We start from the raw sequence: 15,189 nt of genomic DNA on the forward strand, positions 1-15,189 counted from the left end.
CACTGGAGTCAGGCTACCAGGTTCAAACCCTGACTTGGCAGTTACTGTGTGGCCTTGGGAGAGGCACTCAACCTCTCATTTATAAAATGAGGTTGATAATAATATCACCTACCTTCTAGGATTTTTGTGACATTAAACAAATTAACACATGCAAACACTTAGAGCACTGTCTAGCACCTTGTAAGTACTCAAGAGCTATTAGCTACTATCATTATTTTCTATGCCCTAAATGTTCATTTCCTATCCATGGCCATAATGATTTCTGCTCAATAACAAAGATAAGAAGCAGGATAGCTCTCATTTAGAAAGTTGTACACAGCAATAAACTCTTCCAGTGCACCAGCTCCTCAAAGTGCAAAGCACAGTGAATGGCACATAGTAGGTGCTCAGTAAATGTCAAGATCCCTAAGCACGCAGATCACCCAAATTACTTTTTTACTCAGTTAACTTTTAACCCCTCTTTGTTTTTTAAGCATATATATGCCTTATATATATATATACAGGGTCTCTAATATATATCTAATATGTTGCCCAGGCTGATCTCGAATTCCTAGGCTCAAGTGACTCTCTCCTACCTCAACCTCCCAAAATGCTGGGATTACAGGCTTGAGTCACCTTTCCCAGACTAACTGTAATTCAAATTGCCCTCAACAGTGTGTTTCTTAAAGAAAACAATTTTTTTTTCTGTGTGTTTTAAAATGGACCGAATCATTTTACAGGTCACTCAATGATGGACTGCCATCTTCCAGGGTTGCCTTTCTTTGTGAACCTCCCGTTGCCTTTATTCCAAACCTCAAGGCTCACATGCCCCATATCCAGCCAGCCCCCAAATCCTGTTGATTTTCCTTAAATGGCCCTCTTTCCCAGGCCTTGCTCATGGCTTCTGTTCAGCATTTTTGTTACTCCTGAACTGTGACAGTTCCCTCTAGATCCTCCCCTTCCCAGTCAATCCCATGTCATAAATCTCCCCTTTCTAGGGATCCATCATGGGCCGCCCCTGTGCTGCCCCACCCTGTTCCTAGCCCTGTCAGGCTATCTTTCCGACACAACCTTATTCTGGGCAGCTTTTCTTGCTTGCCCAGCTCATTTGAAAACTCTTGAAGGAGACATCACATTTTAGGTGCCGCATGGATTTTCCAGTACATTCACATCTAACATAGAGTGAGCACAAAAAGAGGCCTGCAACACACACTTCCCAGTGACCAGTGGAGTGGTTAGAGCCATGCTTTCAAATCCAGTTGAGCTGGCCCTGTTTGTAGTTTGAGAAATATTCTGGGGCCCGATTTGCCAGTCTGAGTAACTAGGTGTGGCACCAAGTGTCGGCAGCTAATTGCTTTTAACCATTATTAATAGGTCTGCACTAATTATCTCTTGCACATAGGCAAGATTTTACAGATGAGAGAGGGAGGGAGAGGAGGAGTAAAGGGATGTGCCCAAGGCTACGAGGTGAGTGGATTGTCAGCATGGGGGCTAGAACCCAGGGATTTGCAGTCCTAGGTCAGGGGGTGCCTCCAGGTAGGGGTGGGGTGGAGAGGGGTGGTTTTGGGGGCTGCAGGGCTGGGACCGGGGAGAACAGCTCTGCGCAGGTTGGTGAAGCTACCGTCTTGCCTTCCCCCTCCCCCCACTCCCAGAATGCAATCTACCGAAACCTCTTATTAAAAGTATCCTGGGGGTGATAAAAGTGTCACTAGAGATTTGCTCATTTTCTAAACTGTCATTAAAAAGAAATTTATGGTCAGGGGAAATATAGGCAGTGGAGGGTGGAGTGTGGGCAGGGAGAGAGGGAGGATGATTTCAAATCAGTCCCTTAATAAATTAAAGATGCTCACTTGCAAGAGGGGCTTGGAAAAGGAAATTGCTAGAAACTCATGGCTTTCTCCATTCCAGCTGGCCGGTGTCCTCCTCCTGCACTCTTCCTCTCAACTACACTCCCATTCACACCCACCCCTCCCCTCCTGACAAATCCACAGGGCAAATGCTTCCTCCCTGCGGGCCCACCCCATCCCGTCCTCCTCCAGGAAGGCCTCCAGTTCCCCTCCCTGAGGCTTCCACAGCCCCACTGTCTGAATATTAGATAGACTATGTCTCACCCCCACTATACTGTAAGATCTTTGAAGGTAGGAGTCTTGCCTCGAACTATTGCATGAATCTTAATCAAGGGAGGTGGAGGTGATCTCATTCCCTTAAATTATTAGGAAATGTTAACCGAGAAAAGGGAATGAAGAACCCAAGGAGTTCAGACCTCATTTCACACACGAGGAGCCTGAAGCTCGGAGGGGAAATGGAACTCACCTCAGGTCACAGGGGAGCTGTGAGAACCCGCCTCTCCTGGGGTCCAGCAGTGTGCCCAAGAGCTTACACTCAGAGTCCAACTGTGCCCTCCCCACTCACTGGCTTGGGGAACCTTGAGAAAGTCACCAAGCCTCCTGTGCCTTGGGCACCAGAGTTGTTGTGGGTATCAGCTGTGACGCTGTTCGTGCTTTGCTCAGTGATATTTTTATTTTGCATCACTTTGTCATTGGCATCATGATGGCAGGAAGGAAGGCAGGGAAGCTCGAAGCTGTCAGGGCTTCAGTCTTTTGCCTGGACCCTCTTCACCTGCTCAGCAATTGTCCAAGCATCCACTAAGTGCCAAGTCCTGGGCTAGGCTTGGGAGATACAGAGACCAGCAGGCATGGCCCCAGCCCTAGACACACTTCAGTCTGGTGGGGAAACTACTGCTGCGAATGTGGGGGTCCCCGATGGCCTGGCTCTCACTCCTTCTGGGTGGGTTGTGGGTTCACATTTCTCCCCCCACTGGACTTTGAGTAGCCCTGCCTCTGGCTTTGGCCAAGCAGGACCAGCCCAGAAGGAGGCCTCTGGGGAAAGGAAGAGGGTGTGCCTGGCAGGGGTGGGAACAAGGGTGTGGGGAGCTCAGCAGGTGCTGACCACTGAGAAAGGGAAGTGAGAGAGCAGGTTCAGGCCAGGTTGCAGGCTGGGCCCGTGGGGATGAGGCTCTTAGGTCTGAGCCAGGCCAGCAAGGTGGAATAACCCCGCCTCCGCCTAATGCAGATGCTCAACTCTTGCCCTGAGTGAGGTTCAGGAAGAGAGGCTGGAGGCAGGGGGCAGTCCATAACAAAAGGCTGAGAGCTGAGCCTGCCTCAGACCTGCTCTGCTAGCTCCACAAGCTTCCTGCCTGGGCCTCCTTCCCCGGTCGGCTGGGCACGACGCTGTCCTCTGCTTCCTACCCTCCGAACTGAGGATCAGCTGAAGGCAGTCAAGGAATGAGCACTCTCTGAATGAAAAGAGCACATTTCAGAACCTCATGGAAGCCTTTTAGTGCACATGCCATGAGGCCTGGGTGGGGAGGGGAGGGAAGAGGAAAGGGAAGAGGATTTGACATCGAGATGGAAAGAGGGAACACAGAACTTCTGTGCACGGCATTTAGAACACAAACACTGCATCACTGAACCATGAGGCTGCAATGCAGACAAAAGAAGCCTGGAGAAATCCCAGTGGGTTTCTTGGAGGAGGGGAAGGCTGGTTTGGGCTTCACAAGTTTGGTGCACACAGGGAGAGGGGAGAAAGTAAGGCACAGGCCACAGCGGGAGGGCTTGGGACCATGGGGGCCCTGCAGGTCTGGCCAGGCCATGAGCAGAGTAGGGGGTGGGAGGCTTCCAGTCTCTAAGGGGCCTGAGGACCCAGGTCCCCGCAGCCCTCCTGACCCCCAGGGGGCCCCTCCAGCCTGTTTGGTGGGTTGTTTGCCAGCCTCTGCCTGGGAGCCTCGGCCTTCCATCTAGACATCAGGCCAGCCTCCACGTGGAGGCAAAGGACGGCAGATCAAGGATGGGCTGACGGGCAGGGGGTGTGATCAGTGGAAAGTTCTGCCTGCACAACAGCACACTGATGCCTCCGGGGCCAGCCTTGTCCTGCGCTCAGGATTTCTCCCAGCCTGGCTTGGCCTCTGCTTTACTCCGACACTATTTTTATGCCTCGATACCTCACTTTGCATCTGTGGCTCTCTGTTTTGCTTTCTCTCTCTCTCTCTCTCTCTCTCTCTCTCTCTCTGTCTCTCTTCTCTGCCTCGTTCTGAACATCTCTGTCTGGCTCGCTGTGTCTTGCTTTCCCTGTGTGTCTCTCTCCATCTCTGTCCCTCTCTCTCTCTCTCCCTCTCAGGACTCCCTGACCCGTTCTGTGTGACTCTGTCCATCTGTGACCTGCCCTCTGTTACCACAGCACTAGCTGACAGATGCTGAGAGTCTAGGCTGGAGAAGTTTTTCGGGTTCCAGGCAGGCGTCCTGGAGACTTCAGCCTGCAGGGAGTGCGGCTCCTTTTGCTTTAATCTGGGGGGAATCTGACATTGGTTTCTTTGACCTCCTCTGCCTTTGATCTTTATCTTTGAAACCCTGTGTTGTTAGAATGCGATTGACTTCAGATGTTCTCATCCTCCCCAGAAAGCTGAGGGAACGCAGGGCAGGGGTCTGGCTGGGTGATCCCCCAACATCACATGGGCAAAGATCCTTCAAGGGCTCTGGGCTTCAGGCTGGACACCTCCAGCAGGCTGAGAGGCTGTTTGTGAAGCCTGCAAGCTCTCATACAGTGGAGGGCCATGTGGTACATGGGAACACCCGGGGCTTCAGGAAACAGACCTTCCTGGGTTCTAACCCCAGCCCTGCCATTGCTGCCTGAGTGACTCGGGACAGGTCGTAACTCTGAGTTTCTGTTTTCTCTTCTGGGGTTTCCATTTTCTCACCTCATGGGGGTAAAACTGAGCATGAGAACTTGATGCACTGATACGTGAAAGTGCCTCATGGATTACTTAGTATGTAGCTAGTGCTCAAAAATGTTCCATTTCCTCTGCCTTCCTCTTCCCTCTCTCCAAGACTTCATTCAAGTCCAGGCTTCGCTGGAGCAATAGAACATCCCTATAATAATTACAGGGCCTTGCTCATCATCCCTGCTTTGCAGGGCACAGAGACATTGATAGATACACCACTCTCACCCCACACCTTGTGCATGACCAGCATGTGGCTATTTTTACAGCATCTCCAGGGCTTATCAGCCCTCCAGCTCTCCACCCGCATTCATTCACTGAGGCGTCAGGTCATAGCAGGACCCAGAGAGTGTAAATGACAAGCACAAAACCAACAATAACAATAAAGTAACCGACTTATACAGCGCTCTTGTGCCTGCAAAGTCTTCCTTCAGACAGACTTTGTTGCTTTTCATGAGACTCCCCAAGAGGTTACAGATAAGAGGCCAGACCCACCAACAGTGACCTAGCAAGTCAGGGACAGAGCTAGGACTCAACCCCTGGTCTTCTGACTCTCAGACTAGCCTACCGTGTGTCACCAGCAGGCTTCAAGCACAGCTTTTAGAGACTGCAACTCAGCTGGTGTGTGCTGGGGCCTGTGAATCTGCATTTTAGTAAGCTCTCAAGAATTCTCATGCAGGTGGTCTCCTCCAATCTGAGAAACATCCCTCCCCAACACGTGGATGAAAGAAAGTGATTCTTGCTCAGTTCTCTCCCTAAAGTGGCAGTAGAGGTTTGGCTGGTGGTGATGGAACTCTGCCCCTTGCTGTGGGCAATTAGGGTCAAGGGTTGATTAGGCAAGCTGGAGGGAGACTGATGGGGCCTGGAAATGTGAGTTCTGCATCTGGTGCTGGGGTGCCTCTCTGTAATTCACTCTAGGGGGCTCCTTCCCAGGTGAGGAAATAAATTGGGGGTCACTGGTTCTCAACCGTGGCTGCACATTGAAGTCACCTAGGGGCTTTAAAAAATATTGATGTCTGGAAGCAGCCTGTAGAGATTGTGATGTGATGGGTCTGGGGTGTGGTCTAAAAGCTCCCAGAGGATTCTAATGTGGAGTCATGTTTGAGGATCACTGAACCGGGACACTGAGGTCAGTTCTACAAAATTCCAGCCTGTGACTGAGAGCAGATGTGGCACAAGAAATGTTGTCTTCATATGTCTGTGTGTCTGTGGGTGTGTGTATAAGTGTGTCCCTGCTTGTGTATGTAAATGTGCCTGTGTGTGTTATGTTTGTGTGTGAGTCTGCATATGTTGTCTGTGTGTTTTTCTGTGAATGCACCTGAGAGTGTGAGTCTGTGTGTGTGACAGAGAGACCTGGAGGGCAGGGCAGAGGGGATAGGAGGGGCTGTAGAGGTGAAGAAGGGCTTTCTGGAGACACAAGTACCCTGTTTTTATAGATAGAGCCCAGAGAGGGTAAATGACCAAGCCTGGACCCTAGGCCTCCACAGCACCAATATCCACAACCCAAGGGTCTAAGATAGGAGGCAGAAAGGAAAATCAGAGCTGGTGTATGGCTCCAGGTTTTGCTGGCTGACATGAATGTTTTGTTTGTTTGTTTTTGAGATGGAGTCTCACTCTGTTGCCCAGGCTGGAGGGCAGTGGTGCAATCTCAGCTCACTGCAACCTCCGCCTCCCACGTTCAAACAATTCTCCTGCCTCAGCCTCCTGAGTAGCTGGGTTTACAGGCCTCCACCACCATGCCCTGCTAATTTTTGCATTTTTAGTAGAGACAGGGTTTCACCAGAGACGGTTGGCCAGGATAGTCTCAAACTCCTGACCTCCAGTGATCCACCTGCCTTGACCTCCCAAAGTGTTGGGATTACAGGCATGAACCACCGCGTTTGGCTGACATGAACTTTTGCTTTGCTTTTTTACCTGCTGCAGAATGCTGGGCTCAGGACAGTTCAGCCAGATGTGCTGGTGTGAGAGGGCTGGGCAAACCTCTCTGAGAACCACCAGCTCCCTGAAGCTGCTCCCCAACCAGTAAACCCTGCTTTCTCCCCCACAGATATTTCATGCATACAGGCTATGCCAGCATGAGAAAGAGCCAAGTCCAGACCCCTCACCAGGGAGCAAACCGTCCAAGTGACACTCCAACATCTTGGGGCTGAAGGTTTTTGGACGGAGTGCTTGCCCCAATGCTACCTAGACAAAGCCCCTGGGGAACTGAAAATGCTCAGGGTTGGGGCTGAAGAACCTTCCTCTTACCAGCTCTGTGATCTTAGGCACTGGTAAGCCCTGGTTTCTGCATCTGGTAGATGGGCCTGCAACACCTGCCCAGCCTCCTGAACAGGGGAGCTGGAGGCGCAAGCAGGGGAATGCAGGTGAAAGCACTCAGCAAATTAGGCAGGATCCACTTGTGCAAGAGGTTATTTCCAGGCATGACCTGAAGACTGCCCCAGCCACTCTCCAGCCCAGATATCTTCCTCAACTGCCTGCTGATCCCTGCCATTCTTATCCTTAGATCTAGCCTCTGGATTAAGGATATTCAGAAGATTCTGCTGATTTACAACTAAGGTTTCTGACGGAAGCAGAGGCAGGGGTGATGACACACTTCGCACCATTCATGATGCTAGTGTGACTTGTAAGCAGCTCAACATCAGGAGGTGGCACAAGCTAGGAGGGAGGAGGCTCCTGCAGGGACGGACCCAGAGGGCCTTTCCAGGAAAGGCCAAGGGAGAGGGCCGCTGGTTGCTCTGAGGCTTCCTGGACAGAGAGGGTGAGGTGCTGGCTTAAGTGCCCTGGGACCTGGGAGTGACTGGTGAGGAAAAGAGGCTTGGAAAGCCAGAGGGGACCCAGAAAGGCCATACCAGCTTGACTTACTGCAGCCTGGCCCAGCATCAAGGATTTGGGACCTGGAACCTGACAGATCAAGGACTCTGCACAACTGTGTGGCATATTTCTGAACCTCTCTAAACATCATTTTGTCATTTATAAAATGGAGATAAGAACAATTCCTTTTGGGAGGCTTTCATATACACAAAAGCAGACTAGCTGTTATTATTCTTTACAATTTCGCTGAGACCTTAGCACGGGCAGACTGTGTGTGTGTGTGTGTGTGTGTGTGTGTGTGTGTGTGTGTGTTCTGCCCCCCCTTCTGAGTGTTCACCCCATCTTTGCTGTACTATCTCTCTCCAGACTGAAACAGAGTGCAGTAGAAAGGAGAAGAGTCAGGAGTCAGAAGACCTGGATTCAAATTCTGCCTTTGTACTGGATGAAGAACTGTAGACAGGTCCTCATTGTCACCCAGAGCCTCACATATAAGGGCAATAGATGGGACGATAATCGCTAAACCATGAGGTTGCTGTAAGAATGATATAAAATAATATATCAGCAATAATAGTCCACGTTTCCCCTACACTTACCAGTGTGCCAGGCACCCTTAAGGGCGTCACACACATTATTTCAACCATTACAATCTTTTAAGTATCCCTACTTCTGTAGATGTCCCTACTTCTGTAGATGTCCCTACTTCTATAGATGAGAAAACTAAGGCTCAGAGAGGTTAAGCAACGTGGCCAAAGGTCACACAGCTTGTATGTGGCAGAGCATGAATCTGAATCCAAGTGGCGACTACTTCACTACTTTACTGGGCACAGGATCCCAGCACATCCAAGTTGGAAGATACCTTAAAAGCACACCAGGTCCAACCTGCTGTTGACTGCTGAGGAGCCCGAGAGCCCCACTCCTAAGTTGTGTTACAAATCAAATCTCCTTTTCACCCTGACCTGCATCGTAACTTCCCAGATGATTCTCTGCATCTGAAGGCCTTCACCAGACACATGGCATCCACAGAGCGAGTATGGTTCCCTTCAGAGGAGGGCATCGAGACCCAAAGAAGCCAAGTAATCTGCCCAGGACCACATAGCAAGTCTCAGGCTGAGCTGGGAGTCCAGCCTCCTCCTGCAGGCTCTTTGCTGCAAAGCCTTGTGTTACATGTACTTGGTGGGGCTGGGGGCATTTGATGCTGGAGAGAGGGTAGTGTTTCTGAGACCTCTGTGTGTCTCTAAAAGCATCTAGGTATGACCCTTGATGGCTTGTGATCTAGATTCTGATTAGATGTGGGCAATAATTTCTCCTCCTCTCCCTGAGACCCAGCCCAATGTGGAGCTTTGTGTCAAGTATGGCTGCATTCCTGTTGTGCCCATCCCAGTGCCAGCTACAGACTTGGTGGCCCATGGAGTGGCTCGCACTGCTGGTTGTCTACTCAATATTCATTCAGATTTCTGTATCAAAGTGATATCAGCATGCCCAGCCTCAAGTGATGAAGTGTGATGGGTCTAAATCCATCATGGTAATCCGTTTCCTCTTTGCCAGTGATAGGCTTGTGAGTTGCCGAATGACACAGTTCCAACCAACAAGATGGGAAGGAAGTAAATGGGAACCTCCAGGAAAGATTTTCCTCCCGAATGAAGACACGTAAGAGAAAAGAGCCCTGGGCCCTCTCCCACTCTCCCTTCCTTCCTGCTGGTGATGCTTTTGGGAAGGATATAATGCCTGGAACCAGGGTGACTGCCTTGTGACCATGGGGCAACACCTGCTGAGGATGTCACAGCAGGAGGATAGAGAGAGCCTGGGCCCTCACTGACATTGTTGAGTTGCTGCACCAGCCTTGGAACCACCTGCCTTGTCAACTAAGATCACATATATATATGTACTGGTTATGCCATTATCTGTTTGGTATTATGTTACTTGAAGCCAGCATATCCTAATCAATAAAAGGGATAATAAAGGAACTGGGCATGGTGGCCCACACCTGTAATCCCAGCACTTTGGGAGGCCAAAGAGGGGTGTATCACCTGAAGTCAGGAGTTCAAGACCAGCCTGGAAAATATACTGAAACCCTGTCCAGCCTGGAAAACATACCGAAACCCTGTCTCTACTAAAAACACAAAAATTAGCTGGGCATGGTGGTGGGCACCTGTAATCTCAGCTACTTGGGAGGCTGAGGCAGAAGAATCACTTAAATCCAGGAGGTGGAGGTTGCAGTGAGCCAAAATTGCACCACTGCACTCCAGCCTGGGTGACAGAGCAAGACTCTGTCTCAAAAATAATAATAATAATAATGATAATAATAATAATAATAGTAATAAAGGGATCTACCTTATGAAGTCAACACTCTGATATCTGTTTTACATAAAAGAAAGCTAAGGTTTGGAGAGGACACTGTGATGCAGGGCAGGCGAGCCTTGCAGAGCAGGGCTACTCTGGGCACACTGCCTATGGGGTAGCCCTGCTCTGCAAGAAGCAGTGCCTCTGCTGCTGCTCTCCACTGCCACATGGATTTTAAAAAGCTGTCTAACACCCCAGCTCACCTTTGAATTCTTTCCTGAGTGAAGCCAAGAACCCTCCTGGGCTAAGCCCCAATTTTGGGTCTCACCTGCTCTGCATCAACTGAACTTTCCCACTTTATACACCCCTCCCTAGCAAGTAGAGAAAAAGGGATTTAGACCTCGTTCCATCTGACTCTCAGGTCTGTGTGCCAAACCACCACACAGAGAGGGCTGGCTCCTGCTGTAAGTATATCAGATAAAAAAGCTGATTTCTCCTCCTCTCCTAGATCTGTCTCTAAATGACCCTATTTCCAAGTATGCAGTGAACATGCATTTTGGAAAATGTCCTGTCAGACAGATGATGTGTTTCGGAGTTGAGAAAAAATAGAGATGAATGGATGGGGTCTGTGTAGGATAAAATGAGTCCTGCCTGTCAAAGCCTTGTGCTATCTTTAGGGACCCAGGACGCTCACCTGGGAAGAAGCAGTGAAAAACACCAGGAAATACACATTGTCCCCCTCTCTCCTGTCTGGATCCTTCAAGGCTAGTTCAAGTGACCTTTCTTCCAAGAAGTCTGCCCTGACTGTGCCAAACAGAACTGGGCTCCCAGGGCATATGTTTGCAAACTTCTTACAATGGGCAGATTTTTAAAGTTATTTATGTGCCTATGTACCCCTTCTCATAACTGAGTGTGAGCTCCTGGAAGCCCAGACTGTGTCTTAGGGCCAGCACAGTTCTGAGTATCAAGTAGGAGTGATGCAGCGCAGGCCAGCCCCAGACTGGGGCTTAGCCCATGAGAGTTCTTGTCTTCACCCAGGAAAGAATTCAAGGGCAAGTGGGTGGTAGGATAGAAGAAAACAGCTTTCTTGAAGCAGCAGTGTTACGCTCACATAGGCAGAGATTAGCAGCTCAGAGCAGTTCTGCAGTAATATTTATACCTACTTTTAATTGCATGTAGATGAAGGGGTGGTCAATGCAGAAATTTCAAAGGGAACTTCTGAGTCATCAGGTCATTGCCATGGGAAGGGGTAGTAACTCCTGGGTGTTGCCATGGCAATGGTAAACTGACATAACACACTGGTGGGCATGTCTTATGAAAGCTGCTTCCGCCTGGTCTCTCTCTTAGCTAGTCCTCAATTTGGTCCAGTGTCTGAGCCCTGCTTCTGGAGACAAGTCCCACCCCCTACTTCAGGAGTGCAGGAAATGCTTTCTGGTTTAACGTGACATCATTCAGTGCTAACCACACACTCTGTAAAGACAGCTCCTCCCAGGTTGGGTTCATCCTCTATTGTGACACACACACACACATAGCCCCAGGGCTCAATACAAATCTTTTTCCACCAAAGGGAGCTTCTTTCACCAAAATGTGGGGTGTTTGTTACGGGGCACACCGAGAAGCACAGTGGTCATGTAAACCTCGGGGAACCCAAGACACCAGTCATCACAAAAGACAGCCGAGAAGCTTGGTCTTGGCTGAGGTCCAGGCAAGAGTGAGAGGTGGAGGGAGCAGTGAGGGGTGGGATGGGGGGTGCTGGGAGGGGTGATGATTCCCTGAGAGGAGCCCAGTGGGAACCAAATGTGGGGATCTATGGGACAGCTGGGGTTGGCTTCAGAGAGCACTAGGCACCATAGAAATGGCAGCTTCACAGCTTCCTTCCTTACTCCAGCCAGGCACCGCTGCCTTGGCCCAGGCCTGTGGAATGTTCCAGAAGCTAAAATGCCCTTTGTCTGGGCCTTACCCTTCCCTGGAACACAATGGCTTGTGCTTGAAGGGCTCGGGGTTTGTGATTCCTCAAGTAAGCCAAAGAATCAACAGCTTCCGGGGCTGCCCCTCAGCGGCTCCTATCCACGGTTATTTTTAGTCGCATTTAATTTGGCAGCCAGGAGCACTTTTGATTTCACAATGATTAGTTAGAGCTTGTGTGTGCGCTGTTTTTCTTCTTACCACCCGCCTGTCTCCCCCAAGGGGACTGGGTGTTGTTTTGACTTTTATGTGTTACAATAAAAACTTTCATTGTAGCAAAATGTTTGCTCGTCAAAATTAGCTTGGTTAATTCCAAAGAATTGTTTCATCTTGGCTCCACAGACACGGGGGATCTTTTTTACAAGAGGAATTGGCCACCAGCCAGCTATCTCCGGGACAATTCCTCTATAGTGTTCATCCTCCTGGAATTTACCTTTAAAGAGGAAAGACCTGCCTTCACTTACCAAAGGAAAGCCGAATGCGTCCCCGGGTTCATGTGCTCCACAGCAGGGCAGGGAAAGCCAGCGACGAGTGTGGATTTGGTTGTGTTGATTTTAGAATCACAGGCCTGGAAGAAAGCCCCACAAAGAGACACATGTGAGGGTGTACACAGACACAGCTCACACAAGCACACACCCACAGGTGTCACACTCATGGCACGAATAGACACACGCTCACAAACACACAGACCCACGAGGGCAGGGCAGCTGACTCTGCATACACGGGAAGAGAGAGACGCAGAGGCCTGAGCGCCACGCCAGTCCAGGTGGAAACGCTTGAGCCGCCTCACCTGCATTTGCAGGGCTCAGCAGGCAAGCTAAGCCTCGCCCCGCTGAGACCCGCCCACGTAAGCGAGGGTTGGGGACACCACCTCCAAACAGTCTCAGTTATCCTGGGGCCTGGGCTCAACGCTCTCCCTTGCATGACCGACCTCCCACTCCTCGAGGAAGCTGGCACTCCTGAGCCCGAACCCAGGCCAAGCTGACCCCTCTGGCAGCTCTACCCTGTGCCATCACCACTCCCTCGCCACAAGCTGAGATCGTTGTTAAACAAGAAGGCACAGGAGGCTCACAGATGCCCGTGACAGTCAACAGACCAACGTTAAGTGGAGTCTTTGCACAAACTGTTGGGGAGGCTCAGATGAGAGGTTCACCGCAGCAGGGATGGAGGGACAGGCAAGAGCCGCATAGAGTTGGAAAGTCATCTGACCTGCGTCTACACCGCTGGGACAAAAAGGGGTTGAGGCAGATATCATTGCCAGACAGACTCGCTGGTAACACTGCTCCTTCTCTCCCCTCTGCCTCTCCACGCCCCGTCACCACTCTCCCTACTTGGAGAAAAGGGACAGTCAACATCTAAAGGGGAAATTGGCCTCTAGGCTATGTATGCATTCCCTAAATTTTTATCAGGTGCCTACCCCCAGGAACTGGAGATATAACAGAGTACAAAAGAGAGCTCATGCCCTCTGGGCACTGGTAGGGGAGAGAAGCAACCAAGGGCTACACAGTAACATGCAGCACTGACCAAGGTGATGAAGAAGAAACTCAACACCCACCCCACAGGGTGACGGCAAGTGGTGAAGGAACAGGCCCATCATGCAGGAGGTCTGGAGGCACCGAAGGGACTGGGGAAAGGGAGGATGTGAGTGGGAGCCAAGAGGGTGTCTGGGAAGGGCAATTCCAAGCCAGCCGATCAGAGCTGACGAAGCTTCAAGGCTGGGCAGGCTGGGCGGGCTTTAGGAAGTCGATGTGGCAGTGCTGAGAGAGTGGAGGGGAGAGTGGAGTGGGGGTAGTGAGCCTGGAGAAGTAGCCGGAGGCCAGGTCTTGTAAGGCTTCATGGATGCGGTGAGGGCTTTCGAGGTCAGCCTTCCTCTCTAAGCACCAGAAAGCAGGCAGCCTGGCAGCAGCTTGCAAAACCTCTGGCCCACTCTTCAGCTGCTGGTGCTCTTCAATCTAGAGGTTTCCGTGGCCAGAACTTTCAGTTCCCTGGCTTAGGGACTAAGCCCTCCTTCTTAGTCCCCATTAGGGAAGGGACATGCAGAAACTGCTGGAAAACTCTTCCTTCCCTGCTGTGTGCCAGCCAGGCTTGAGGACTGTGACAAGGACCTGGCCTCAGAACCCAGCTGGGTAGAGGGGCAAAAGCAAGCTGTGGATGGAGTCCTGCGTATGGCTTCCCTTGCCCAGCTGTGTGGCCTTGAGTCACTCACTTGCCCTCTCTGAGTCTCAGGTTCCATCACTGTCAAATAGAGATGCTCCACCACAGAAGCACAAGGGTCAAATGAGCAGCAGAAGTCATTGTAAAATGGGAGAATCCTGCTTATCTGGAAGTTTTTACTTTAAAATTGTTTCTCCCCTGCAGGCTCAGACAGGATGCTGGCTGCTGTGTAGGGAAAGCAGAAGGCTTCTCTGATGAGGGACCCATGCCTCCCTCCCCTACCCCACCCCCCATTCTCCCTGCTCTACAACTAAGTGGCTTCAACTAAACGCTGAGGCCAACTTAGCGGCCCTGCACAGCCCTTCTGGTATCCAGTTTCTCACCTGAGATTTCTGCCCAGGCATGGGTTTCTTGCTCCTTCCAGACCCAGAGCCACAGCCCGAAGAGCAAACCAGCTGTGCTCTCTGAGTGGCAGCTGGAAGAGCCCTGAGGAGCCCAGGCCCAGCCTATGGCCAGGATTCAGAAATGGGAGGATGAGGCCACCAGGCTTCCTCCCATGTCCCCCAGTAGCCCACAGCCTGATTGCAGCTTTGGGTCAGGCTTCCTCTTTGCATTCCTTAATTACTTTTTTAAAAAGTCGATGATCCTTAAAATTGATGCTGCTAAATCCCCTCATTTTTAGATCCTAAGGATGTGTATCAATGGTAAATGGGTAAAATATAAGAAAACATGAGGGGATGCTGAGGGAATAACTAATACAGACAATCAAGGAATTCTGCAGACCTAAAATTCATTACCCCTCAAAAAGACAAGACTTGGCTGGAGAGTGAGCAAGAGTGTAGGGACAGTCACACCTGGGGACTTGTGGCTGGGCACATGAGCAGGAATCGGCTTCTAAAGAGTGCTGGGGAGTGAGGCAGGGGCCTGCCAGGCTCTGGGCGCCCAACCTGATACCTTTCAGTCTCCTGCTTTCACTCTGGCCCACCTGAGCTCCAGCTGGGCTTCTCCACTCACCACAACTCCACCAGCCTTTCCTGGAAGTACTGGCCGCTCAGAGGAGCGGCAAGGTTCAGGGAAGGCAAGGCAGCACAAAACGGTGAATCTGCCTGGGCCCCACCCCTGAGGTGGGCATAAGCCCCCACTGAGCAAAGTCCATACACTGAGAGGCCAAATCCCCAGCCAGAGATCAGCAGTCCTCACCTTCCCTTCCCTGCCCAGCCGGTGTC

The 15,189-nt window shown here is 50.9% G+C and overlaps 1 long non-coding RNA gene across 1 annotated transcript in view, besides 4 other annotated features; it reads right to left on the bottom strand.

The window, feature by feature from the left end:
• The window catches only part of LOC101929129 (uncharacterized), a 52,221-nt gene extending 39,647 nt beyond the window's left edge, over window positions 1–12,574 (bottom strand). The window contains exons 1-2 of the long non-coding RNA XR_001751593.2: window positions 12,504–12,574; window positions 12,274–12,377 (exon numbers count right to left, since the gene is read on the bottom strand). This is a non-coding gene — a long non-coding RNA (uncharacterized LOC101929129). The remainder of the gene's footprint in view (window positions 1–12,273; window positions 12,378–12,503) is intronic.
• Window positions 2,779–3,282: an enhancer, noted in NCBI's record as "H3K27ac-H3K4me1 hESC enhancer chr15:70307241-70307744 (GRCh37/hg19 assembly coordinates)". NCBI's record gives its function as "activates a minimal SCP1, AML or CMV promoter by ChIP-STARR-seq in naive and primed H9 embryonic stem cells {active_cell/tissue: H9 hESC(naive and primed)}" and the evidence as "EXISTENCE:reporter gene assay evidence [ECO:0000049][PMID:30033119]".
• Window positions 4,689–4,738: an enhancer, noted in NCBI's record as "active region_9667". NCBI's record gives its function as "activates an Ori minimal core promoter by ATAC-STARR-seq in GM12878 lymphoblastoid cells {active_cell/tissue: GM12878}" and the evidence as "EXISTENCE:reporter gene assay evidence [ECO:0000049][PMID:35858748]".
• Window positions 10,980–11,149: an enhancer, noted in NCBI's record as "experimental_40838 CRE fragment used in MPRA reporter constructs". NCBI's record gives its function as "activates a minimal promoter by MPRAs in K562 erythroleukemia cells, with activity observed for both the introgressed and non-introgressed 15:70315527 or rs12441546 variant alleles {active_cell/tissue: K562}" and the evidence as "EXISTENCE:reporter gene assay evidence [ECO:0000049][PMID:34662402]".
• Window position 11,065: a transcriptional cis regulatory region, noted in NCBI's record as "Neanderthal adaptively introgressed variant 15:70315527 (GRCh37/hg19 assembly coordinates) or rs12441546 in the experimental_40838 CRE". NCBI's record gives its function as "modulates activity of the experimental_40838 enhancer by MPRAs in K562 erythroleukemia cells {active_cell/tissue: K562}" and the evidence as "EXISTENCE:reporter gene assay evidence [ECO:0000049][PMID:34662402]".
• Window positions 12,575–15,189: the final 2,615 nt, after the last annotated feature.

This window comes from Homo sapiens, chromosome 15 (genome assembly GCF_000001405.40).
Source record: "Homo sapiens chromosome 15, GRCh38.p14 Primary Assembly".
Taxonomy (NCBI): domain Eukaryota; kingdom Metazoa; phylum Chordata; class Mammalia; order Primates; family Hominidae; genus Homo; species Homo sapiens.